This window comes from Homo sapiens, chromosome 6 (assembly GCF_000001405.40).
Source record: "Homo sapiens chromosome 6, GRCh38.p14 Primary Assembly".
Taxonomy (NCBI): domain Eukaryota; kingdom Metazoa; phylum Chordata; class Mammalia; order Primates; family Hominidae; genus Homo; species Homo sapiens.
The window spans coordinates 129,284,559-129,311,932 of NC_000006.12; the positions used below are offsets into that span (position 1 = coordinate 129,284,559).

General features: G+C 34.6%; 1 protein-coding gene across 2 annotated transcripts in view; it reads left to right on the top strand.

Annotated features, from left to right (window-relative positions):
• LAMA2 (laminin subunit alpha 2) overlaps positions 1-27,374 on the top strand; it is a 633,429-nt gene that overhangs the window by 401,421 nt on the left and 204,634 nt on the right. For both annotated transcript variants that reach the window (NM_000426.4, NM_001079823.2), the window contains exons 19-22: positions 3,289-3,500; positions 7,056-7,162; positions 13,127-13,307; positions 16,178-16,314. In NM_000426.4, the coding sequence (NP_000417.3) occupies positions 3,289-3,500; positions 7,056-7,162; positions 13,127-13,307; positions 16,178-16,314 (637 nt within the window). The remainder of the gene's footprint in view (positions 1-3,288; positions 3,501-7,055; positions 7,163-13,126; positions 13,308-16,177; positions 16,315-27,374) is intronic.

The window sequence follows — 27,374 nt, forward strand, 5'->3', positions numbered from 1 at the left end:
TTGCTTGGCTAGATTAAGCCAGCATTATATTGTTTCATTGTTTTCAGTGTATAGATAATAGAAATGTAGGCCGTGATTTTAGCCAAAAGTTGCTGAAAAAATGATGGGGCAGAATGAGACAAAAGTCTCATCAGTGTGGTTGCTTTCTTCTCATTGTTGCTTGTCTGCACGTCCGCTCTTTTTCTACCTCTCCCTCTCTCTCTTCCTCTCTCCCTCCCTCCCTCTAACATTGTTCCTAAATTATCAATAGCAGCAAGTGTAACAAATAACTGCATGTGTTATCTGGAGTCTTATTTACATTTAAACGGCCCTTTTTCAAAATATTGCAATTTGATTTGAAAAAGTTAACAGATGTGGAAAGGAACAATGCCTTTGTTATGTCAAGATATCCGTTTCTAGCAAGGCATTCATTCGATAAACTATTTTTAAAAATGCACTCATTCTGCCTTGCATATGAAAATGAGAGGGCTTGACATTTCACATTACAATTATTTTTGGTGGAGTGAAAAACCAAAGGACTGTGATTTAAACTAATTTTAATTAGGTGAATCCAACTTGATCAGACTCTAACACACTATTTTTATTAATAAAAGTTATATGATTAGCAGTATTATATTCTCTGACCCTCAAATTACTTTTTAATTCCTAACGGAACACCTTCAGAAATCTCTAATACTGTTCTCTGTATAGAAACACACACCCATACACCAGTAATGTGCTGAAGTGTTGCAGAAAATAGTCCCACTTTCAGTAACATGGCATATGAATTTTCTATCACGTATATTCACAAATTTTCCTTACACGTCCTGCAAGAAAAAATAAATAAAAGACAGATGCTTCTTTAGTTATTCTATTTAATTATAGTTATTTTCCTCCTGAAATGAGTTTTTTTATTATGGAGAATTTCAGTCTTATTAATTGCTATCTAAGTTAAGAAAAATTCCCAGATCTCGTTATATAAAGCTATCTCTCCAAAGGGCAGTAACTCATCTTGAGGAAAGTGAGCTGAAAATAATAGGTTTTCGTTTGCTGTGATAATGATCATTGTATATCCTTATTCCAGTGGCACAAAGTCACTCTCTTAGTGGTAAACAAAATGAGATGTGAATATATGTGGATGTGATCATAAGCTCTGAATATTAAATAAGACAAGAAGAATCAGGTTAAAATTCAAAAGAATCTCCTTCTTATCTTTATCAAATGCCTCTCTTGAAGGGATTTTGGGGGAATTTTGTGCACTCAAATTTTATTGCATATTTTATAATACAGAATTAACAAACAATTATATCTGTGGTTGGCAATATTCTTCTAAGCAGTATTTATACAACTCATAAGTGTATAAAATCTTTTGTGAATATAAGTAATTTCATTTTAAAAATTATGATAAAACATCAAATCTATGAATTATAGTACCTAAGTACCTATACATTTTCTAGAAAACTTAGAATCATCAATGTATCTGCACCAAATTAATGGCTCTGCCCCAGAATTGGGATTTGTTAAAGTACTCTCAATATAATGTACTGGATTTAAACCATTTTTATTTCAAATGGTAGAGAGCCTTTCTCTAAATAATGACTGCATATCTGTGAGTAGATGAGCATAAAAGTGGTGTACTACTGAGGAAATTATATTCTCCCACATTGTTTTTGATCCCCTTCAATTTTGACACTTGCTGCAAAAGACTTTATCTTGGTAAGATGGCAAAGATAACAGAGCTAGCCTGACCATAAGATTCAGATGCCCTGTTCTGTTTCTCCTTTGGCAAATGTGGCTTAGTATAAAGTGTGAGCAAATGTCATTGAAAGAGAAGACAGAGCAGAATATAAATAGGCGCTGCCTATAAGGACGTTTCTGCACACCTGTAGCAGTAAGTTGCATTTTAAAACATAACATTTAGGTCAGAGAAAATTTGCTGCTATCGTTTTTAAAAATCTTCTTTGCCATGCCCTATAAACAAACTTTTGTTTTTCCAATAATATAATATATTATATAAATAGTTTTATATTATATTATATTTATATAATATATATAATAATATATAATATATTATATTTATATAATATATATAATAATATATAATATATTATATTTATATAATATATATAATAATATATAATATATTATATTTATATAATATATATAATAATATATAATATATTATATAATATATTATATAATATATAATAATATATAATATATTATATAATATATAATAATATATAATATATTATATAATATATAATAATATATAATATATTATATAATATATAATAATATATAATATATTATATAATATATAATAATATATAATATATTATATAATATATAATAATATATAATATATTATATAATATATAATATAAATAGTTTTTGGTAAGAAAGAAAGAGCAGGAGACAAAGAAAGAAAGAAACAGAGAGGAAGGAAGGAAGGAAGGGAGGAAAGAGGGAAGGAGGGAGAGAGGGAGGGAGGGAGGGAGGAAGGAAGGAAGCAAGGAAGGAAGGAAGGGAGGAAAGAGGGAGGGAGGGAAGGAGGGAAGGAGGGAGGAAGGAAGGAAGAGAGAGAGAGAAAGAAAGGAAGAAAGGGAGAAAGACCTGGAGTTTGCTAATAGAGTTGGCAGGCACAGTTCAGTATCACCTTATGGCATATTCCTATAATATGCAGGCATGCTTTCTCAGACTTCCCTTTAGTAAAGCCTTCAATGAAAATTTGCCTCTGAATTCATATGCAAATACATACAAATAGATTATTAATTCAGATATACCCACAGCTCCCATCCAATTAATAAGAATCTTCTGAGTCACAGTTTCTAGTTAATAAATTCTGAACTCTTATTACTGAATTTCCTTGCGAGCCTGTTTCCTCATAACAAGTTCTGGCTGCAACAACAACAAAAAATGTGAACCTTACATATTTGTAGAGAAAATAACCAATTGGAGTAGAGACATATGATGTGTTGTACTACAAAGGCTTTCCAACATGGACCTGGATTCCTCCAGAGTGCCAGCAGCAGATTCTTATTATGCTTTGGTCTCATTTTCAGTGCCAGTGACAAGATTATATATTTTTTTCGGGCTGAAATCTAATTACTAGTGGGCTGGCAGGATATCATCTTGTATCTACACTGCAGTTGTAGAAAAACATTTTTTTAATCACGTTGCGTTTGAGAAAAGGAACACTTAAAAGGAAAATCCATCATCCTGGGAGAAGGGGAGAATGAAAAATATGTAAACATTGCCCCAACTGAGGTCCCCCCAAAGGCTCACTGATGAAATTTCTTGCCTTAGGTGTGCAGAAGGCTATTTTGGACAACCCTCTGTACCTGGAGGATCATGTCAGCCATGCCAATGCAATGACAACCTTGACTTCTCCATCCCTGGCAGCTGTGACAGCTTGTCTGGCTCCTGTCTGATATGTAAACCAGGTACAACAGGCCGGTACTGTGAGCTCTGTGCTGATGGATATTTTGGAGATGCAGTTGATGCGAAGAACTGTCAGCGTAAGTCCTGAACTATTGATGCCCCTGACAGAATTGATGTATTGTACCTCAAAGTAGCTGATGAGTTCTTGAGTGTGGATTGAAGAGTAGGAAATTATGTGGAATACATGGTTGATAGATGCATAGAATATACAGAGTCTGCATATTCCAGAACATTTCCTTGTACTAACTAATAGAGTAAATACCTTTAAAATTGCTGTGGTATTGAAGCATCACTGTTTTCCAAATGATAAACATGTTTTTATTTACATGCGGAAGGAAGATTTTTTTAATGAACTTATGTCCACAGCAGGAAAGAAGAATTTGCATATTAGATAGACACCATGTATCCATTTTTTTATCTCAATTCTAATCACTTGCTTTAAATAATTTTTTCTGCCCATGATATTTCAGTAGTAGCCATCAGAAGGTGTTAATCAGTTATGCTTTCATATGTTAACTTTACAGTGTCGTATTTTGTAATAGGTATAAAATTCTGCCAATATTTTCGCACACAGGCATTTGTCATTGTTGAATGATTAACCTCATTTTAGTTTCATAATAGTCATTTAAGGACTATTTCTAGAATGCTCTTTCAGTGTTTTCCTTCCACAAAATTAGCTACTCTAGGGCTTCATCCATATTAGTATAATACATTTCTCCCCTCTTTACCTTTTTTGCTGTATTAATACTACATAGAATTTCCAAATCCTTAATGTCAGTGGGATTAGAATATGAAGGCGGATCTTGTTGCAGAAGATCAAATGGAAAGTGAATCCAATGTTAGCATTTGGCCATCATCAGCTTCATTTACTATCATAATGTTTAAGCAGAGTAGGTTATGAGACCAGCCTATCCATTCATTTCTGTCAAATTTATGTGAGAGACTCTTCCAATTATTCAGGTGGGTCCCAGGACATGCAGAATTATAGAAACCACTGTAAATGTAGCCTATTATCAACTCTACTGTAAGCACCAAAGACCCAGTAGGGTACCCTATTTCATTAAGAAATGTGTCTCTCTCATCACAGGTTTAGAAGATGAGTTCTAGCTTTTTGTTATTTAATAATGATAATTCATTGAATCAAAACCAAATCACTTTCTGGACCAACTGGCAGCTGTTAATATAACCTGTAAATTGATCTTTTTTTAAAGCAAAATTTCCAACAGCTCAGTGCCTTTAAACACTGGATTCCTGACAAATGTATAAAATCATAGAAAGCCTAAGAAATTCTTCCTTTCCCACAGATCATCTAGGATCTACATTTTCTAGCTGTGTGCTCCTGAGCAAGATATTTGACCTCCTTGAGACACAGTTTTCTAGTCTACAAAGAGAGTCATGAATTTTCTGTGGGGACTAAAGGATTTGGCACATAGAGGGTATCCAGTGAGTTCCCAAGTCCTGGAGATGCTCACACATGGTAGCTGTCTTTGGTAGCAGTGCTCATAGTAGCTGTGCATATCAGTTGTTCACCAGTGAATTCTAAGGCTAAGTTAGTCATTTACTGACATTTTATCCTGTCTTCCAATAACCCCCACCCCCATAAAGTTAGGGATATTATTCCACTAATTTTATTATGGTAATTTATTGTGGGATTATTTTATTATGGTAATTAATTATTATTTTATTATGGTAATTAATTATTGTAGAAAATTATTATGGGATTATTTTATTATGGTAATTTATTATGGGATCCATGGCATGAAGTCTTAAGAACATAAAAAAGAATGTGAGAATAAAAACATTTTGACCATTACCAGTTTTCATACTACTTGCCGTGAGTATAGATGTGATTATAATTTTTAATGCTCTTTGCCATATAATCACAATTAAAAGTATAAGAAGCACATTTATTACTTATTTTTATAATTTTTCATGGATACAATATCACTTCTATGCATAAGTGGTAAAACCTCAAGGAAAGAAAGTTCCTGGAAATACATTATTTTGGTTACCTATAGATTTGTTCAAGAAAAGTACACCACTACAAAGAAATATATTTTGCATTTTAAATTTGTGTATATCGTTGGTGTCATATTTTTCCATTAAAATGACACTTTAGCAAAACTTTATACTGCTTTGTTGTTTTTACGATAACATTAATTAATTACCATCATATTTATGGTAAATTTAATTTTGTAGTTTACACTCCAAGAAAAAGTGACTCCTAAAGTCTAAATAATTTGATATTTTAAAAATGTATGATATGCATAAGAAACTTTCATAAAATAATAAAAGTATATACAAATTCGATAAATCAGATGAAAATGGATATTTAAAGGAAAAATTTTCAGCCTTTCCTTGTATTTCAGCTATAGACTATCCGTAGGCTCTTTCAGTTTCTCAATGGCCCTTACTCTAGTATCCCCTTGGCAGACACTGAAGACAAACTTTGCTGGAAGATAAATTAAGCAGTTTTTAGAAAAGCAGTTCTTTTGTTTGTTTATTTGTTTGTTTTTTAAAAGGAGAACCTAGAGCCAGGAGAATAAAATATTAGCATAGGCTGATAGAGTACCTGTTTATAGCTTAATTTTAGGTTGTGTTCAAATCAAAATATTCAGAAATTTAACAAAATCATCTATGAGTAGCCTAAATTCCCATGTCATCTCCTCCTTGTATTTTTATTCTGATATAAATGCAATTATATGTACCATTAAAAATATAGGGTACATAGTAAACAATTAATTACTATTCTATTTGTGAAAAGGTCACTTAAGCTTTAGACTGATTTACTCTACGTTTTAGAATAACCTCAGACAGCTTTATAACAAAGCAAAAAAGACAAAAGATTACTTAAATGAAATATGTTTTGTATGTTTGGAGATAGCATATAAACTGTAAAATAAAAGTGATTCTTAAATGTTATAATGCTATAGTCTTAAGATACTTGAAATGATGTTTTTGTTGTCTTTTAAACTTCTGAATCTTAAAAAAGGCATAAATATTTCACCTCAAACCATTTTTTAAACTTAACACAAAACCGGCACACAGTAAATCATTAAATCAAAAAAACTAACTAAATTTTTCTAGATTAATAGTAACATTAAAATTTTGCCAGGGGTGCTATTAATTTTGAAAATTCCTCAAAATTATTTTAGTTCTAAAGTCAGTATGCATTACTTACAATGGGATAATAGTATTTTAAGTGTTACCCTGATGTATCTGTAAAGAACTAAAACAGCGTTACACCTTGAGTCAAGAACTCCAAGTTCCTGTCACGTTCTGGACTCACCTATATGACACAGCAGGCATGTGGACTTGTATAAGCTATGGCTTCTTTGAATTTCAGTGTCTTCATGCTCAAAATTGGAATGATGATGATGACATTAATATTTTAATGGCATATGATGGGCCAGACATGATGCTAAAGCCTTTATGTGAATTATCCCTACAGCTTGTAGAGTTGTTATAGGGATTAAATGATAGAATGCCTAACAGGGCACTTAACAAATCAGAAAACATTCTGTTACTGAACTTAGGCGTCCATGTTACCATGTGGGGTATATTATTATTTAACAAGCCTATTAAGACTATTAGAAAGTTTTCCTGATCACAGGTCTCTCTTCTCTTTGCAGCCTGTCGCTGTAATGCCGGTGGCTCTTTCTCTGAGGTTTGCCACAGTCAAACTGGACAGTGTGAGTGCAGAGCCAACGTTCAGGGTCAGAGATGTGACAAATGCAAGGTAAGGAGTAGAGGCTGACCCATAAATTACTTTCTCCTTACAGATTTTCACTGGCTTTTCATGACATGTTTTGTATACCTTCGTATATTAAAAGGAAGGTTTGGGATTATCTAATTCTACAATTGAAATGACTGTGATCAGTGAAAAGTTTTTTTCAAACTAGAACAAAATTCATTGTACATTACCATTTGACCTTAAACATTTTTTTTTGGCAGTGAATGTGTATTATATTCGCTTTAATTCAGACATTTCTGAAACAAATAGCAGGCGAATTTAATCTTAATCTGTGGAGATACTCTTTCCTTTGCCTTTACATTTTTGGCAGAATAAAATGTTACTCTTGGGGCTGGGCGCGGTGGCTCATGCCTGTAATCCCAGCACTTTGGGAGGCCAAGGCAGGTGGATCACGAGGTCAGGAGTTCAAGAACAGCCTGGCCAAGATGGTGAAACACCATCTCTGCTAAAAACTACAAAAATCAGCCAGGCACGGTGGCAGGTGCCTGTAATCCCAGCTACTCAGGAGGCTGAGGCGGGAGAATCGCTTGAACCTGGGTGGCAGAGGTTGCAGTGAGCCGAGATAGTGCCACTGCACTCCAGCCTGGGCGACCGAGTGAGACTCCATCTCAAAAAACAAAACAAACCAAAATGTTACTCCCTTTGCTTTTTAGCAAACACCTTCTTCTAGTTCCATCATTTAAAAGCTACTTCCTGTGAGCAGTCTACCTAATGGAAGTTTCAGTAGAGAAGTTAATCAAGATATTTTTAAAGATGCATTATTTTGCTAAAACAAAATATTCAATTAAAATACAGCATGTTGTTCTCAGTCCCTGAACATACCGATTGCCCTGCTTTCAGTATGGCAAGCAACTTCAGATTCCTCCATGAGGGTGGACAGATTTGCTCTAGCGCTTTCACAAAAATACATTGTATTTGTGATAAAGACAGCTAAGCAGAAGCAAGCATTTCTCCGATGTCAAACTGGCCTTACTGTAGGAAGTTTGAAAATATCATCTGCTTCTGTCTCTTGAATAATATCATTGCTCTGTTTTGTTTTTATTTTATTTTATGGTTGGTTTTTAAAGCCCAATATGTGGCGGGATCCAGAGAAGCGATTCTGTGTGCTATGTGACTGCGATCCCGTTGGCTCTGTGTCACCGCAATGTGATATTACAGGAAGATGTGTCTGTAAATCAGGCTTCGTAGGGAAACAGTGCAACCTCGGCAGGCAGGTGCACCAACAGGAGGAGCAGCCGCGGAGAGCGCAACGGGTGCTGGGTTCTCCTCAGAGGTGGGCTATCGGCAGCTCCAGCGGGTGCCCTCGGGGAGCCTATCGGGCCCCAGCTCCGGTAATCCCAGAGGCGCTGCATGGCTCATGCCTCTGCATGTTGTGTTCTGTGTGCTGTGGCTGAAGTTCCCTGGTGGCATTTTACCAAATAACAGTTGCTAAGTGTGCAAATTGCAAATGCAAAGATTAGACAATTCCTAATTGAACCCTTGCCCTTTTAAAAATAACCATCCGTATGCTTTAAAAAGCATATTCAAGTTCATAGGGTCATAAAACTTTCAATTAACCAAACTTTCAATTAACCATGAATATGTGGAAATCAAATAAAAATCTACTTGAGAGAACCTATAATCTTAGAAATGGAAGAGACTTCAGGCAACCTTTGGGGAAAGCTAACTTTAATAAATGAACAAATGAAGGAAAATCTAGCAGAGAAATTGATTTGTCCAAGAAAACTCAGCCCATTTATCAGGCATTTCATCATAATTAAGAATTTTGTTAATTTCCACATCAATTGTGCTTATGTGTACAACAAATGCAAGAAACACATTTTCACACACTATAAATGGACAAATACCCAAAACGGGGAAAGTTGTTTCTAATTACAAAAGTGTGGTTCTCATATCACAGGACAAAACAAAACAAATGCTGGGGAAGAAGGAAGAGAGGGAGGGAGGGAAGAAGAGGTCCCAGGCTGAGCTGCAGAAGAGTAGGAGACAAGACTTACCAGTATAGAGTCAGGACCTGTAGAGAATTGAGGATAGGGCATAGAAGAAGGAGAGATGGAAATAAAAAGTAAAGAAGAAGAAGTAAAAAACAATTCATGGTTTTATTTCTTGGCTCATTATCACACATTTTTTAAAAAACAAATTTTGATGTCAGACTGCCTTAGATCAAATCCTGGCCTCATTACTTCCTAGCTATAAATTCCTTGAATCTTTCTGTAATTCAGCTTCTTCATCTGTAGTAAGATCCACTTCAGAGGGTTTATGTCTGCTTACGTACTCCAAGAAGCAAATGCCAAGAGGTTTCCTGGGGGAAAGGCCAACGAAGCATGAAGTGGGAGACAGCATAGCCTTCTGCTGCAATGGGGTTCTGACTCCCGGGAAAACACAGAAAGAAAGACTGGGTAGGAAAAGCCTTGTTTGGTGCATTTTGTCAAATCTTAAATTCTTGGCCAAGCCAATGGGATATACCCAAGCAAATTTTACCCACTAAAGGAATCCTGAATTGGTCAGGGAGGTTCTAGTATCTTACAGTAATCAGCCTGAGAGAAGGATACTCTTGTGGAAGCTCATCTTAATTCATTCAGAGTGCTATAAGAGCATAACATAGACTAAGTGGCATGTAAACAATGGAAATTCATTTCTCACGATTCTAGAGGCTGGGAAGTACAAGATCCAGGTGCTGGCAGATTTCCTATCTAGTGAGGGCCCTCTTTCTCTAGACAGTCATTTACCCACTGGAACCTCACTTGGGGGAGGAAACTCTCTGAGGCCTCTTTTATAAGTGCAGTGATCCCATTCATGAGAGCTCCATTCTCATGACCTAATCACCTCCCAAAGGCCCCACCTCCTGTCTATACCACCACCTTGAGGGTTAAGATTTCTACATATGAATTTTGGGGGACATAAACATTCAGTCCATTACAGAGCACCTCTGATGGGTCCAAAAGACAAGAAACTGGAGGCTTTCAGTCAGTAAAATTCCACACTGTAGGTTGTCTTGCAGGTAGATCGGATGAGGCGCCTCCAAGGCTGTCTCAGGGTAGCAGTGAGAACAGTGCATCAGGCAGGAGCATAGAGAGTTTTTAGTAAATGTTAGGCCTGATTACTATTATTATTACCAATGTTGTTAAATGAAGAAATGTTTAAAATAATTTTTTTTCAAAAACAAATGCATACATTTACAATAAAAGAAAAAGATAATAACTGATTAAAATGTCTCCTAAATATAAATTTAGCAGAAAGTCAACGTTCATTCAAGCCCTACATATCTTACAGTACTATTGTATGAAGCAGGGTTTTGTCCCGAGACTATTTTTTCCTCTGCAGCAGTATGTGTGAGAGCTGAGAGCTCAGACTCTGGAGCCAACCTAGCTGATCTGGAATCTTGACTCCACAATTGGTTAGCTCATGACCTTAGGCAACTTACTTAACCTTTCTGTGCCTCAGTTTCACCACTCAATAAAAAAGTGGTGAGAATGACAACTCTCTGCCAGGGTTGTCCTGAGGAGTAAATGAGTACATATTTGTAAAGAGTTTAGATTTGTAAAGGGTTTAGAATTGTGCTTTGCAAAAAGGAAGCACAATATATGAATGCTAGTTCTTATTACCCCGAGAGAGACACATTTATGGGAACCTATACAGTTTCTCACTGGGTCTGGATAGCCACTCTCTCCCATATTTATTTTACCTCATTAATCTCAATTACTGACCATGAATGTCTGCTCCTTAAGTTTGTTTACTAGTGGGGTTTTCTTTAGCCTTTGAAACAAATTTTTGAACAAATTTGTAAACATTTTATTACTGAAATTTGGTAGTATTTATTTTGCTACAACTTAGCCTTTAAAGCTACATTATTTAAATATTTGAAAAGTGAGGTAGAACCGTTTCTTCTTGTATATTTCCTTACATAATCGACTTTGGAATTTTTAAAATGATAGCTATAATTTGGAATCTCATTTGATATTTGATTGATTTAAAGGGGTGTACACACACCCCTTTAATGAGTAAATCAATATGAGAGTGTGGATATATAGATGTAAATATATATGAGTAAATGTATATATATATGAGTGTGTATATATATGTGTTTATACATATATCGGCATAGATATATGAGTGAAGACAATTTCTGAAATAAAGATGAATACAAAGTATTATTTCTATGACTCAGATATTTTTCAATACCGTTTTAATATATTATGTTTAGTCTTTTTGTCTATGTATTTCTGTTTCTGTTTGTGTGTCTGGTGGTATGGGTATGTAATTGAAATTTACATAGTATTTATATAGTTTCATATTTTTGTTTAATTTCTATTTCATGCTATATCCTAAGCATATTTATATCATTAAAACTGCTTCAAAACAGGATTTTAATTCTTGCATATTATTTCATAATGTGGATGTCATCATTTAATTTATTCAACAATTTTTATAACATTGTACAGTTAAGTGCCTGCATAGTTATTCACCATGATAAATAATATTGTAATAGGCATGCTTTTGCTTTAATAATATTCCAATTTCTGATTATTTCTCTAAGCCAGGTATCTAAAATTTTACATGAATTTCTTTTACTAATAATGATATTATATGGTTAGTTTTTTTTATATAGGTGAATTTAATTTCAAAGTCATGTCATCTGTTGGAACTGTTACATGCTTTTTTCTTTAATCATATACCACAATCTGAATTAGAACTAGAAATAAAAATAAAACCAACAGTAAATGTAAAGATGAGAATGATCGTCAAACTCAGTCAACCCATTTTACATTTTAAAAATAAAACTATTCTTAGCTACGGTCATTTTAAAAATCTAATTTTCAGTGTGATTTCACTTTTATAACTTATTTTTAAAACTACTAACAATAATATCTAAAATATATAATGAGGCTTATTAATTTCTCTTTGGGTGGCTCACGTTAAGTGGCAAGATTTTTTTTTACCAAGAAGCAATTATTAAGTCTAATTTTCCAAAATAAGAATTATTTTTACAAAGAAGTAATTACCGAGAATAATTTTCCAGATTAAAATATCATAATAATGTGACATGCTTTATATTTTTAAAAAATAACCCTGAAGTATTTTAAGCAGGATAGATGATTTTCATTTTTCTGCTCGGAGTGATTTTTTAATCCATCAGCATTTTCTAACGTTTCATTTTAAGCCTGATAACATGCATTTCAAGAAAGTCAGCCGAAGCTGGTAATGCAAACTTGACCGTAAAAGATGATTTGTTATAGATAGATAAGAGATATGCATATGAATAACTCATCAGAGAATGAAAGTTTACTTACCTGATCTGGTGCTTTAATACGTGTTCTCACTAATCAATTTCAATTGTTAGAATGAAACCTAAGAAATCAAATGTTTGTTGAACCAATTATTTGATCAGTGTAAGCATAACCTGAAAATTATATTTATAATGTGAACACTATAGCAATGATTAAAAGTATTTATGGATATGTGACAAAATTCTATCAAATATTAGGGCAAAAAGGATTATTTTAACTTTAGGCTGCTGGTCAATAATGTTGAAAGTATTTTTACCAAGTAGGAGTCCATAGATCTGAAAGTAATCAATTCAGATTACTAAAAATGAAGAAGTAAAATTTTAAATTAAGACTAGAAATACCACCTATAGGTCCTTTCCATATTGCTATTGAAATCTTGAGAAGTACTGGGACAGGCTGGTGAAAATACAACAGACAGTAAAGGAAGCGCCTAATTCTGCAGTTAATTTTGATAAAATTTCAGAATAATTGAACTTTTCTCTTTGGATATCATAGAAAAGGTCCATTTGATTGAATGAAAACCCAATTGTCATAACATCAGTGAGGAATCCTGATAACTCCTAAGTTCCTCTGTTCCCACCTGATCTTTGGTATTGTGCATCTTGCTTCACTTCGAGTTAACTGATTTAAATTTAATTTTTCTCTCCTCTTCCATTGCCAGGCTGGGACCTTTGGCCTACAATCAGCAAGGGGCTGTGTTCCCTGCAACTGCAATTCTTTTGGGTCTAAGTCATTCGACTGTGAAGAGAGTGGACAATGTTGGTGCCAACCTGGAGTCACAGGGAAGAAATGTGACCGCTGTGCCCACGGCTATTTCAACTTCCAAGAAGGAGGCTGCACAGGTCTGTAAATATGACTTAAGTCCTACATATTCACTCTGATAGTTTTAGGGTCTGACTTCTGTAACAGTTTGTTCTTTTAAAGGAAGCACAGATTGATACAACGTATTTAACATAATGAGTAATGTCTACTTATTTTTACGTTACTTAAAAAATGAAATACATGTCAGTTTGAAACACTGCCTTAATAACTGTGTGCAAGTACTCAGTAAAAATCAGCAGATGCTCGTTTGGTTGTGTCCCTCCCTGTCTGTGACTTTGATTCAGCCAGTCACTCAAACACTGCTACGGCTTGAAAGTTAAATGTTCGATTTTTCTGGTACCAGTCTTATCTTAGTTTAAGCTCAAACCCCACGCCAATGCATTTCAACTTTCCCTTTTTCCTATTGCAAAATTGGTATCCGGATCAAGAAAAGTCAAGGTGTTTTTTTTTTCCTGGTACCCCAAAAACATCTTTTCATCTACTTTTGGCTGCCTTGAAAACTATGATGTTCTAAGAGAGAAATAGGTTGGCTCTAGATATTTAGTTCATCAAAAAATGCAGGCAGAGGTTTCTAACCATGATTCCCTCAAGCAGTATTCTTATACATCCAGCCACAGCCTTCACCCAAATCATGAGCTAAGAAAATATCACTTAGCATTCTGCAGATGAAAGTAAAGAGTGAACATTAGCCTTGATTTATATGCTGCTAATTTCGAACTGACCCTTATTCCAACAATCACTAGTTTGAATATTACCTTTGTTTACTAATGTCATGGATTCAACCTGGATAATGCTCACATACTCTCAGCACCATGGTAAGATTTTAAAACATTGTTATTCACTGTTGTGGCAAATTTAAGTAGGAAGCAGTAGGAATAATATTTAAAACTATTTAAAGAACCAATATCTTTCAGACATTCTCCAGCACTTTAGATATGTGGATTTTACCATAAATTAAGCCATGATAAGTTATTCTAATTGATAAGTTATTCTAATTGATAAGTTATTCTAAATGATAAGTTTATAATTGTAGATCCTCTAAGAATCTGTATATCTCTAAGCCAATATCTGTATAACTTAAAAATTATAAAGCTGTATTTTAAAATATACTCTGTTCTTTAAATCCAAAGCTCACTGACATTTTTACTTAATATGAATTAATGAGGTAGTATTATACATTTAAATACATATAGTAACAAATTATAAATGAGACCAAGAATATTATTTTAAATTATAGAAAGATGACAGCATTTAATAAATGCAGACCTACTAGCATTCTGGCCCAAAGAAACACCATAGAAAAAAAAAAGCACAAAACAGGAAGAATAGTAATATGACTGAGGACATGACTTGCACAAAATAGCCTGGATTTGTCTAAATGGCTCCTTCAGTAACTAGTTCTGGGACCTTGACTGAGTAATTTTGTTTCATTTTCCATCTGCAAAATTCATCTATTAAATTAAGATAATAATAGTATCTACCACACATGGTTTTTGTTACAATTAGTTGAGTTAGCGGCTATAAAATATTTAGAGTAATGCCTAGCATGTAAGTGCTATGGAAGCATTTATCATTATTATTATTATCTTTATTAGTTTTATTAATTGTGTTATACATTGTGCTTTGGCACAGGAAAACTAGCTAATTACTCAGGTTTTCTTTCTATTTAGTGTTATGATTCCGCTGAAGAACTACTTAAGATAATTTCTATTTGCAAGTAATGATTTGCACTGTCCCATGACATTTTTTAGCATATAAATTTAAACATAATGGTAACTATTTTTCTTCTTAATGAAGGACACATCTAAAATAAATCATTTGGCTTAAAATTAGCAACAACAGTAATAACCAAAACAGCAATGACTAACATTTATTTAGTGTTTACTCGGTGTAAAGTATTTTTCTAAACACCTTCCACAGCTGGTGTGTAATGCTGTGAGCAATGAATATTGTCATTTCATAAAAAGTGAATTTAGTCAAATATTCTAAATATATTCAGTGAAAATGATTTAGTCATCATATAACCAATTAAAAGTTTACTCATAACATTAGTCTTCCATTTGAATTCAAGTATTTGGGTTTCTTCCCTCACTTACATTTCTTTGACATGAAACGCTGCACTAGAAATATTCTTAGTAGCTGGGTCAACTGCCGCTATGTGGCATGCATTCCTTGTCTTGGATGGCTTTGAAGATATTCTCAAACATTATTTTTGCAATCTTTGAAAAAGTACAAAAGGTAGATAACTTTGTACCCTTTGAATATTGCATGATAGCAACAAAAATGAAAAATCTATAGAAAAAAGTCAGGTGGTAAATAAAAATCGAAAGTATCTTTATATATAAACAGTGTCCATAATTCAACCATTTTAAAGTATTTGCAAAATTGGATTATTCTGTTGTGTGCGTTTCTAACTATATACATGATGTACCGAATTTAAGAAGCTTATTAAGCTTATTGGTTTTTACTGCAGATCGGGCTCATCAAGGAAAAACTAATCCGTACAGCATAAACAAATTAGAAATGAACTTAAAATAAATATACAAACAAAATAGTAAACTTTGTAGTACCCGAATATAAGGTGTTACAGTTAACATGGAATCTGATAACACCAATTCTTTCCTTTCTTAAACTTCATAGGAAAGCTAAAAATACTTTAACTTTTGAAATTAATAAATGAAATACATCTTATATTTATTGAACAGCTCCTTTCTGAAATACATTGTACTATAATATAAAAGATGAATGAAGTAAGTTTTTATTTCCAAATATCCTTAAGTGTAGAACTGAAAAGAAAATAAGACAAACCAACACAATATAAAACTCAACACTTTGTGTCAAATTTTTACTATTTTTCCCCTTCTTTGTTTTCCCTCTTATACCGGTGAAGCTTGTGAATGTTCTCATCTGGGTAATAATTGTGACCCAAAGACTGGGCGATGCATTTGCCCTCCCAATACCATTGGAGAGAAATGTTCTAAATGTGCACCCAATACCTGGGGCCACAGCATTACCACTGGTTGTAAGGTGAGTGAACCACTTTTTTGCTCTGATAATTTTTTGGAGAGATTTTTGTTTTGTAGAGCTCTGTAATTGGGCATTTCAAAATTCAATATTACATCACAAAATAATGTAGAAGTATTACTATAATGTGATTACAGATATTAATCAATATCTTACAGTTTACTTGTAGGAAAGATGATGAAGTAAATATACATTTATGCAGCTGAACACTTGAAATCTACAAGAGGGGTAAAAAGAACAAAAATTCTGTAATAATACCAGAAAAGAGCTATAACCTCATACCTAGGCACAAGGACATACATGTGCAAAGTATGAGGATATGAGGAACTAATTAATTTTCCAAAAATCTATAGAAATTGCCCCTGAATTATGACTAGGTTTTAGGTTTCAGGAAGTAGTTGAGATCATTCTGAAGAGTCATTTTAACAACATTTAGCTTGGAAAATAATCATTTTTTCCCATTGGTAGACCATAGAAATTGACATGGCCAGAGTCATGTTCAGAGAGATCTATCTAGCATCAGCAGGGATGGTAACAATTTATAAGGCTGTTGAAGAAATATTAATAAGAGATGCCAAAAGCCTGGACCCAGTCAATGAGCGTCAGTGAAGATATATAGGGCGCGAGTTACATTTTAGAACTCAGGCTGATACAGCCTGGTGAATTCATTGATTTGGGGAATAAGAAAGAGAAGACTTAGGATGACTCCTAGGTTTTGCTTTGCAATGGAGTAGATGATAATAAGTACCATGTGCAGCTATAGGAATTATAGGAGGAGGAGCAAGTTCAGGAAGGAAAGATAATCACTTTGCATTTTTATCAGCTTTTTGTGAGGTATTAATAAAATAAAATTCACCCATTTATAGTAATGAATTTTAACCAATGATTACAGTGGTGTAATCATCCCTTGTGCCCCATTGCAGTGAAGTCCCCATCACCCCCCATGTGCCTACTGTTTTGCCTTCTAGCATTATAATTTTCCAATTTCTACAACTTCTGAAAAATAGAATCGTAGTCTGTTTTTTTGAGGGGGGGTTTGTTTGTTTCTTTGTTTGGCTTCCTTCACTTGGTGTTACGTTTTTGTAATTCATCCATATTGTTGCATGTATCAGCAGTTTGTTCTAAAAATTGCTTAATAATATTCCATTTGTGTAATGTACAGTGACTTGCTTACCTGTTTACCATTTAATGGGTGTTTGGGTCATTTCTAGTTTGGGGTTACAATTTTGCTGTGAACATTAGCATACAAGTCAAAAGCATATTTATGGACAAATGTTTTCTCTTTTTTTTCTTAAGAACACTCCACATCTTTGCCAACTCTTGGACTTTTAACCCTTTTTTAATTTTAAGAATTCTGATGCATGTGTATTTCTCTTGTTTGCATTTATTTAATGCCCAGTAATGTTGGGAATCCTTTCATTTATTTATTTGTCATTTATACATCTTTTTTGAAGTGTTTACAAAGCTTATGCCCATTTCTATTTTGAGTTGTTTGTTTCCTTAGTAATGCATTGCAAGGATTATTTATATATTCTGGATACATGTTCTTTAACGTATGTTAAAGCTTGCTTTTCATATAGATTGCTTTTTACCTAGTTTCATCATCTAATCTTTATAAACACTAGCTTATTATCTTTTTCTTCTATAGTCCATACTTTTTATGTTCTACCCAAGAAAGACAAGGTCCAAAGATTTCTCTCCCATGTTTTCTTCAAGAAGTTTTAGAGTTTTAGCTCTTAAATGTAGGTTTGGATTCCATTTTGAATATTAATTTTTCTATATATCAGGTAATGGTCAGAGCTCACTTTTTATGGATACCCAATTTTTCAAACATTATTTGTTGAAAAGACTATCCTTTTTCCCATTGAATTACTTTGACTCCTTTGTCAAAATCTATCAACTATATATATGTTTATGCATTTCTGGACTCTTTTCTGCTTCACCGATCTATTCTTATGTTAATACTAGTTAATATGTTAATTATTGTAGCTTTCCAGCAAGTCATAAAATCAGGTATTGTAAATTCCTCAACCTCATTCATCGTTTCCAATACCTTTTGAGTACTTTAGCTCCTTTACATTTCCACATAACTTTTAAATTTAGCATGTCAATTCTTTACCAAAAAGCCTGCTAGGATTTGGCTGAAATTATATTGAATTGATAGATCAATTTGGGAAGAATTGACAGCTTAAAAGTATTAGATATCCCAGTGTATGAACATGGCATAACTCTGCATTTTTTTAGGTTGTTATAATTTTTTCTCAGAAATGTTTGTAGTTTTTGATGTGCAAGCTTTGCATATATATTGTTAAATGTATCCGTTTCATATTTTTTATCAAAAGCAAATGCTGTGTTCCATTTCAGTTTTAAATTGCTTGTTACTAGAATAGAAAAATACAATTATTTTTATACCTTATCCTTCTATACTGTAATCTTGCTAAACTTATTAGTTCTAGTTTCTTTTTGGTCCATTTAGTGAGATTTTCTTGTAGATAATCATGTCATCTGCAAAGAGAGATTTACTTCCTTTCTAATCTGTGTAACTTCTGTGGCATTTTCTTGTCCTATTGTAGTAAACTATTGACTAGAAGTGGTGGAAGCAAATATCCTTGCCTTGTTCCTTAGTTTAAGTGGAAAGCATTGTCTTTTATAATTGAAAATGATGTTGGCTATATTTTACCTGTAGGTGCTTTTTATTGTTTTGAGGATGCCCCCTCGTGTTTTTAGTTTGCTAAGAGCTTTTATCAAGAATATGTGTTCAATTTTGTTAAATGACTTTTCTGCATCTATTGAGATGACCATATGATATTTCTTTTTAAGCTGTTAATATGACAGATTATACTGATTGATTTTCAACATATCAATCCAGTCTTACAATCCTCAGATTAATCCTGCTTGGCCATGGGGATTATCCTTTTAAAATTATGTTGAATCCTGTTTGCTAGCATTTTCTTAATGATTTTGGATCTACGTTTATAAGAAATATTGGTATGAACTTATTTTTCTTGTAGCGTTGTCGTCGGGATGAGGTACTGCAAGCTTCATGAAATGGATTCAGAAGTATTCCCTCCTCATAATTTATAAAAGCGTTTTCACAATCAATGAGGTAGAAAACAGAAATACTTTAGAGGAACCCAAAAGCTCACTATTTGAAAAGATCAGTAAAGTTGGTAATATTCTAGAAAGGTTAATCAAGAAAAAAGAGAGAAGAAACAAGCAATCAAAATCACAAATAAAAGGGGGACATCACTATAGATCCTATAGACATTAAGATAATAATATGGTAGTAATAGGAACAAGTTTTGCCTAATAAATGTGATAACTTGCATGAAAAGAACATTCCTTCTTTTGCTTACTTTGAGTTTAATTTTCTCTTGTGTTCCAAGTTTTTTTGTTTTTTGTTTTTTGTTTTTGAGACGGAGTCTTGCTCTGACCCCCAGGCTCGAGTGCAGTGGCAGATCTTGGCTCACTGCCAGCTCCGCCTCCCGGGTTCACGCCATTCTCCTGCCTCAGCCTCCTGAGTAGCTGGGACTACAGGTGCCCGCCACTACGCCCGGCTAATTTTTTGTATTTTTAGTAGAGACGGGGTTTCACCGCGTTAGCCAGGATGGTCTCGATCTCCTGACCTCGTGATCCGCCAGCCTCAGCCTCCCAAAATGCTAGGATTACAGGCGTGAGCCACCGTGCCCGGCCAATTGTGTTCCAAGTTTCTTAAGGTGAAACCTTAGATCATTGATTTGTAATCCTTTTTCTCTAATATGGGCATTTGATACATTTTTTTCCAGAAACTACTTTGTTTGCACTCCACATATTTTGATATGCTGTGTTTTAATTTTCACTTGGTTTAATATAATCTTTAATTTATTTTGGGGATAATGTTTAGTTTCTAAATATTTGGGGAATTTTCAAGGTATCGTTACTGTTACTAGTATCTAGTTTAATTCTAAATTGTTCTGAGAACATAATCTGCATTATTTCAGACCTTTTGAAAATTATTGAGATTTGTTTTATGGCCCGGAATAGTGTTCAGTTTGTTTATTATAACATGTGCACTTGAAAATAATGTGTATTCTGGAGTTGTTGGATGAAAACTTCTATATAGGTCAATTATCCTTAACGGTTTTTAGATCTACATGTTCTCTCAGTTACTGAGAGTGTTGGACTATAACTTTGTCCGTTTCTTCTTTCACTTCTCTCAGGTTTTATTCACATGTATTTTTGAGCAGTGATACTAGGTGCATGAACATTTAGGATTGCTATGTCTTTTTGAAAAGTTGGTGCCTTTTGACATTGTGAAATGTCTCTCTTTATTCCTAGTAACATTCCTTGTTCAGAAGTGTACTTTTTCTGATATTTATATAGCTATTGCAACTTTCTTTTTAATGGTGTTTGTGTGGTATATATTTTTCACACCATCATCTATTTCATCTCCCTTTTTAGTATTTTAATGTGTGCCTTTTTTTTTTTTATTCTGAGACAGGGTCTTACTCCATTGCCCAGGCTAGAGTGCAGTGGTGTGATCTCAGCTCACTGCACCCTCCACCTTCTGGGCTCAAGAAATCCTCTCACCTCAGCCTCCAGAGTAGCTGGGACTACAGGCGCATGCCACCATGCTTGGCTAATTTTTAAGTTTTTTGTAGAAATGAGATCTCACTATATTGCCCATGCTTGTCTCAAAGTCCTGTGCTCAAGTGATCCTGCAAAATTCTGGGATTACAGGTGTATACCACCATGCCTAGCTTAATGTGTGTGTGTGTGAGAGAGAGACAGAGAGAGAGAGTGTGTGTGTGTGTAAATAACATATATTCAGATCTTTATTTTTCAACGAATCTTAATAATTTGGCCTTTTAATTTGAGGAGTTAAATCATTTCCACTTAATGTAAATATTGGTATGATTGGATTAAGCCTGCACTTTGCTATTTGCTTTTGCTTGCCTTATCTGCTCTTGCCTTTTTTTTTTCCTTATTGTCCTGCCTTCTTTTGCATTAATTTGTATAACATCTTCTCTTGACTTTTGGATTATTAAATATACCTATTCATTTTATTTCTTTGGTTTTGTCTAGGAATATACATCTTTAACTTTCCAGAATGTACATTAAAATAATATTATACCACTTTACATTTAGCGTAAGAACCTTACAACAGGAAACCTCCAGTCCCCTTTCCTATCCTTTGTACTATATTGTCATATATTTTTACTTCTATATATTATACATCTGACAATATAAGCTTACGATTTTGATTTCAATAGTCAATTATCTTTTTAAACAAGAAAATTTCTCCTATAACTCTTTTTCCTTGTGTATATCAATTTTAATGCTTTAAATTCCTTTGTGTACATTAAAATTTTCATTTCATATCATTTTTCTTCTTCCATTAACTACTTCCTAATCTTTATCATTTTATTCCTGTTGTTTCAGGTCTGCTGACAATAATTTTTTCCTTTTTTTTTTTTTTTTTTTTGTTCCAGAAAGGTGTTTTTTTTTTTTCCGAAGATGTTTTTGCAGAGTATGTAATCCTAAATACTGGTTTGCAGCAATTTAATTATGCTTTTTGTTTTCTTTTTGTGTGTTTAATAATTATTTTTTCATGGGATTAGTTAGATCTGTTGGCCCTGTAGGATTATAGTTTTCATCAAATTTGGAAATGAAAGTTGTCAGCCATTATATCTTTAAATATTTTTTTGTTCTTCATTCTTATTGTCTCTTTCTGGAAATCATTTTTTGTATGTTGGGCCAATTGATATTTTCCCCCATCTCACTGAGGTTCTTATTTTTTTAATTATTTTTGTATCTGTATTTTTTATTTCTGATAGTTTCTATTGTTAAGTGTCCAAAGTCACTGATTTTTTAATGCAGCCTAACCTGTTTTTAATCCAATTGAGTCTATTTTTTATTTTAAACATTGTATTTTTTTATCTTTTAAATTTCCTTTTGGACATTGTATATCTTTTATTTCTCTACTATACTCACATTTTTTCATTTATTCTTGAAAATATAATGTTTATAAACATTAGCATTTTTAAAATGGTCATCTGCAAATTCCATCTTTTTTATTGCAGGACTATTCCTACTGACTGACTTTTCTCCTGTTTCTGAGTCATATTTTCTTGATTCTTTACATGCCTGATAATTTTTATTTGGATGCCAGACATTATATACTTTTCATTGTTGTGTATTGGATTTTATTGTATTTCTTTAAAGAATGTTGAACTTTATGCTGGCAAACAGTTTAGGTAGTCACGGGTCACTTGGATTCTTTTGAAGCTTGCTTTTGAGTTTTGTTAGGGAAGGTGCAGCAGAACAGTCTGAAAGCCCTTCTACTAAGCTGTGAAACTTCTGAGAATACTACCTAGTTGGTTACTATGTCTCTTTACTCTGGCTGTTGAAAATATGGCTTATTCCAAGCTTTCTCTGGGCTGTAAGAATTTTTGCAGCCTAGGGTTTTCCAATGCCATTTTCCTTCATCCCATGCATGCACCTATCAGCATTCAGTCAATGACTCAAGAGAACGCTTCTGCACATCTCTGGAATTACCTTTCTATCTAACTTCTTTCTTTTTGAACACGTATTCTATTTGCCATCATAAGTTTCAGCAGCCTCGGCTTCCTCAAACTCCACTCTTTGTCTCTCAACTCAGCTATAATGCGGGCTTTGGGTTTACCCTCTCTGTGTTGCAGCCTAGAAATTGCCTCTGTACACTGCTTCATGTTTTTTTCCTTCTCTCAGAAATCACAGTCCTGTGCTTCCTATAATTCAATATCTAAAAACAATTGTTTCTTGGTTTGTATTTTTATTTTAGTTGGTTGTGTACTTTAACAGCTTAACAAAGAAGAATAAATACTGTAAAAACTAAGAAGAGGCTGTTCAAAAGAAGAATATTCTTCAGTGCCTAATGCAACACAAAGGTCAAGTAGGATTAGTGCTGAAGTTGTTCATTAAATTGAAGAGCAATAATAAGGGCATTTTTTTATGTTAGTGGGAGTCGTTCCAATTGATTCCACTGGGTTGTGAAATATTGGAACGTGATGACCAAGTGTGGTCCTGTTTGACCCTATAGCAGTACCCTATAGAGATGTAAACTTTTTTTCCTGCTGAGTTAGCACAGATGAAATAATAGACTCTAACCACCTTCACATGTATGATAAAACATTTGAACCTGGTCTAGAATATGCTGACCTAGAGGAAAACAAGCATATTGATGATTCTTCAAGGAAGTTCAGATGTCTGACTTCAATTAGACATGTGATTAGAAAAAATAAAAACTGGACAGGACATTCATTTTTCTATTGTCAATAGCATTATTAAGTTTAAAATGCAAGAGAGCTACATTTTTAGAAAGAAATCAAAAACTCCTCAGAATTTCAAAGTGTTCTTATGAATATGAACAATGCTATAAGTGTCTATGACTGACTTTTGCATTTTCAGCTTCAAATCCAAGCATCCACCATATCACTTGGACTCAGGAGTAAGCCCTAGGGAAACTTACAAGAGTTCCGTTTTATCCACAGAATGCTATGATATAGCCAAACTCTAATTAAACTCTTGAAATTGAAGTTGATACCTCATGTTCAAGATATAAATCAGGATAAAATACATTCCAAGTTTCTATGAAAACGTAGTTATATGTTTAGTACTATCATTTTTACTGATCATTAGATAATTACTCTGTTGACTAAAGTTGACTGAATTTTTTGATTACTTTAAAATCACCATCAAAAGTCTAGACTTCTGAATCGAGAAATACTTCACCATTATGAAGAATTACAAAAAAAAACAAAACTCATAGAGCCTGTATCAGACAATTCTTGCATTGCTATAAAGAAATACCTGAGACTGATTATAAGAAAACTGGTTTAATGGGCTCACAGTTCTGGAGGGTGTACAGGAAGCATAGCGGCATCTGTTTCTGGTGAAGGCCTCAGGAAGCTTCCAGTCATGATGGAAGGCCAAGCAAGGACAGACTTCCACATGGCAGGATCAGGAGAAAAGCAGGGATGCCATGCATTTAAACAACCAGATCTTGCCGGTAGGAACTCATGGTCACAAGGACAGCACCAAGCCCTGAGGGATCAGCCCCCATGATCCAAACACCTCCCACCAGGCTCCACCTCCAACACTGGGGATTATATTTTAACACGAGAATTAGTGGGGACATATCCAACTGTATCAGAGACCTCTCAAGTAATTTATTTATGAGCATGTGTTTTACTGTTTTTAAAACTGGGATGACTTTAATTTAAATGAACAGTGATTTGAGATTTATAGCTTCCCTTTCTTTGTGTCATGGATAATTTCTCTGTGCTAAGGTGTGAGCATACACATCATTTGGGCTGTTATTGAAGTAGAATACGAAGCCTGCCTTCTTTCACTAGCAGGGGAATAGTGAGTAAATTCTCTATTGCTAAACAAATATTACCTCTATTTATGATTTAAATTTGATGATGGCCATAGTGCTATCTAAACACATGGTTAATGGTCTGGTTTATTCTCCACTATAACTTCCTGAATAAACTTCCTGATTTGGAAAGGTCCCAATGTCTATTTGTACTGTCAACAATTTTGTAAAAATTCATGCTTTGGTTTTATACAATTATTTGGATAACTTCATATTTTAGTTAAAGATAAAGATGCCTCACAGGATAATTTAAATTTATTATTTGATTATAGTTTTGATAACATGATTTTCTATTAATACCCGATTATGGCCTATTTTGTTTAAGTGAGTTAATACATACTCAAAGCAGTTGGCAAAGAAAAACTATGTAAGTGAATATGTAAGACATCCTAATTTTGAAATTTGATTCTACATCTGATGTTCTTTAAGTTACTTGGCGGTGAGGTTAGTGGGTTATTCTATGCCTTGGAAGCTTTGTCCATATTTATAATATACAAATAATCACATTTTAGATCTTTGGGTTTAAAATATCTTCTAGAAGCCGCCCTTATTGCAGCCTTTCTACTGATTAGCAATAATTAGATAGAAAAATACTTACCTATAAAGACAAGAAATAAAGCTAATCCTGATAATCATTTTTTTTTTTTTTTGAGACGGAGTCTCGCTCTGTCACCCAGGCTGGAGTGCAGTGGCGCGATCTCGGCTCACTGCAAGCTCCGCCTCCCGGGTTCACGCCATTCTCCTGCCTCAGCCTCCCGAGTAGCTGGGACTACAGGCGCCCGCTACCACGCCCGGCTAATTTTTTGTATTTTTAGTAGAGACGGGGTTTCACCGTGTTAGCCAGGATGGTCTCGATCTCCTGACCTCGTGATCCGCCCGCCTCGGCCTCCCAAAGTGCTGGGATTACAGGCGTGAGCCACCGCGCCCGGCCGATAATCATTTTAATAACAGAATCTGGGAAGATTTTTAACCAAATATTTGGGCATGAAAGACAATAGAGGAGGAACTGGTGATCTTGGAAATGATAATCTCATAAGCAAACTACTGTTAGCAGGAACAGAAACATAATACTCCTGGTAATGGTGGATATAAGAATTAAGCTGAGGAGGGAAAGTGTGAGATACACAGTGAGATGCAGCCAGACTTGGATCTAGGAGTTTGGCCAGGTGCTATGCATATGACTTTACCACTGGGCTGTAGATCTGAGAAGGATAATAGAACAGCACCAAAAAGAGTTAAGTCACAAAGTGCATACACCATATGGTGGCAAACTCAGACAGAGAGAGGTGATACCCTTTGTAATGCCAAGTCATGCTCTGCTTGGGAGACAGAAACTACACTGGTTTTTTAAACAGTGAAATGGAATTGTTAACTGGTAAAAGGTGGTTGGTTACTAAAAAAGGATAAAAGAAAGCTATAAGGTGTCCCGAGTACAGGTACAGAAGAGCAGCTACTCCCTCTAGGCTGAGGGAGGAAAGACAGTGAAGGAGTTAAGGGCTAAGAGAGGGCATGCTCCTTCTCCCCACTTGCAGCAAAGCTGAGGTTCAGAAATCTTTCAAGAGGGCGTTGCTGTCATAGGAATGTACAGCCTATGGATGGTCAAACAAAACCAAAAACAAACACGTCGGAGTTTGTAGGCAAATGCATGTCTGTAGAAGCTGCCCACCGTTCTTGGAGGATAGGAGCACGCTGGGCTACTGAGAAGCCGACTTCAAGGTCAGAGCGTGTGTGCAGACCAAAGCTAGTCAGAAGGGTGCCTATGGAGAGACAATGTGCCCTCCCAACTAAAGGCACACCTGGGATTCTTTCTGGGCCACTGGGCTCCCGTGCTAAATAATACAAAAATAATGATGAAGATTCTTTTTTTTTTTTTAGACAGAGCCTTGCTCTGTCGCCTAGGCTGGAGTGCAGTGGCGCGATCTCGGCTCACTGCAAGCTGCACCTCCTGGGTTCACGCCATTCTCCTGCCTCAGCCTCAGGAGTAGCTGGGACTACAGGCGTCCGCCACCACGCCCGGCTAATTTTTTGTGTTTTTAATAGAGACAGGGTTTCACCATGTTAGCCAGGACGGTCTCAATCTCCTGACCTTGTGATCCGCCCTCCTCGGCCTCCCAAAGTGCTGGGATTACAGGCATGAGCCACCGCGCCCGGCCTAATGAAGAACCAGAACTCAGCTTGGAAGTGTGGTGGGCCGCCATTATGGACTTATTGGGTCCTTCCAAGGCCTCTATTGACTAAGCCTATCATTCTGCCACCGGATACGGAGAAATGTCTACGGGGTCTACCTACTGTATCACAAAGCAGGGTGAATTTGGAGCTCAGAAACAGTAGATGTATAATTGGCACAGCTGGTCCCTGAAATGACTTATTCCAAGATCCTAAATGACATTTTAGAAATTCACTTGGCATTTTTATTAAATTGCAAGAAGATATGAGCTCTGTAAATCAAGAGCAGAAACCTTTAAAAGGATAATGTAAGACAAAAAGACAAATGGATAAGCAGAAATTAAAGATGAGAGAAATAAAATTATTCAAAAGAAGTTAAGATTGCAATAGGGTAATGAAAATAAGCATTGGTGGTATGTGTATACAATAAAACTTTTCCTGTAAAACAGGAGCTGTGAAAGTAGGATACCAATTTGAGAGGTAAATACAGCAAGAAATG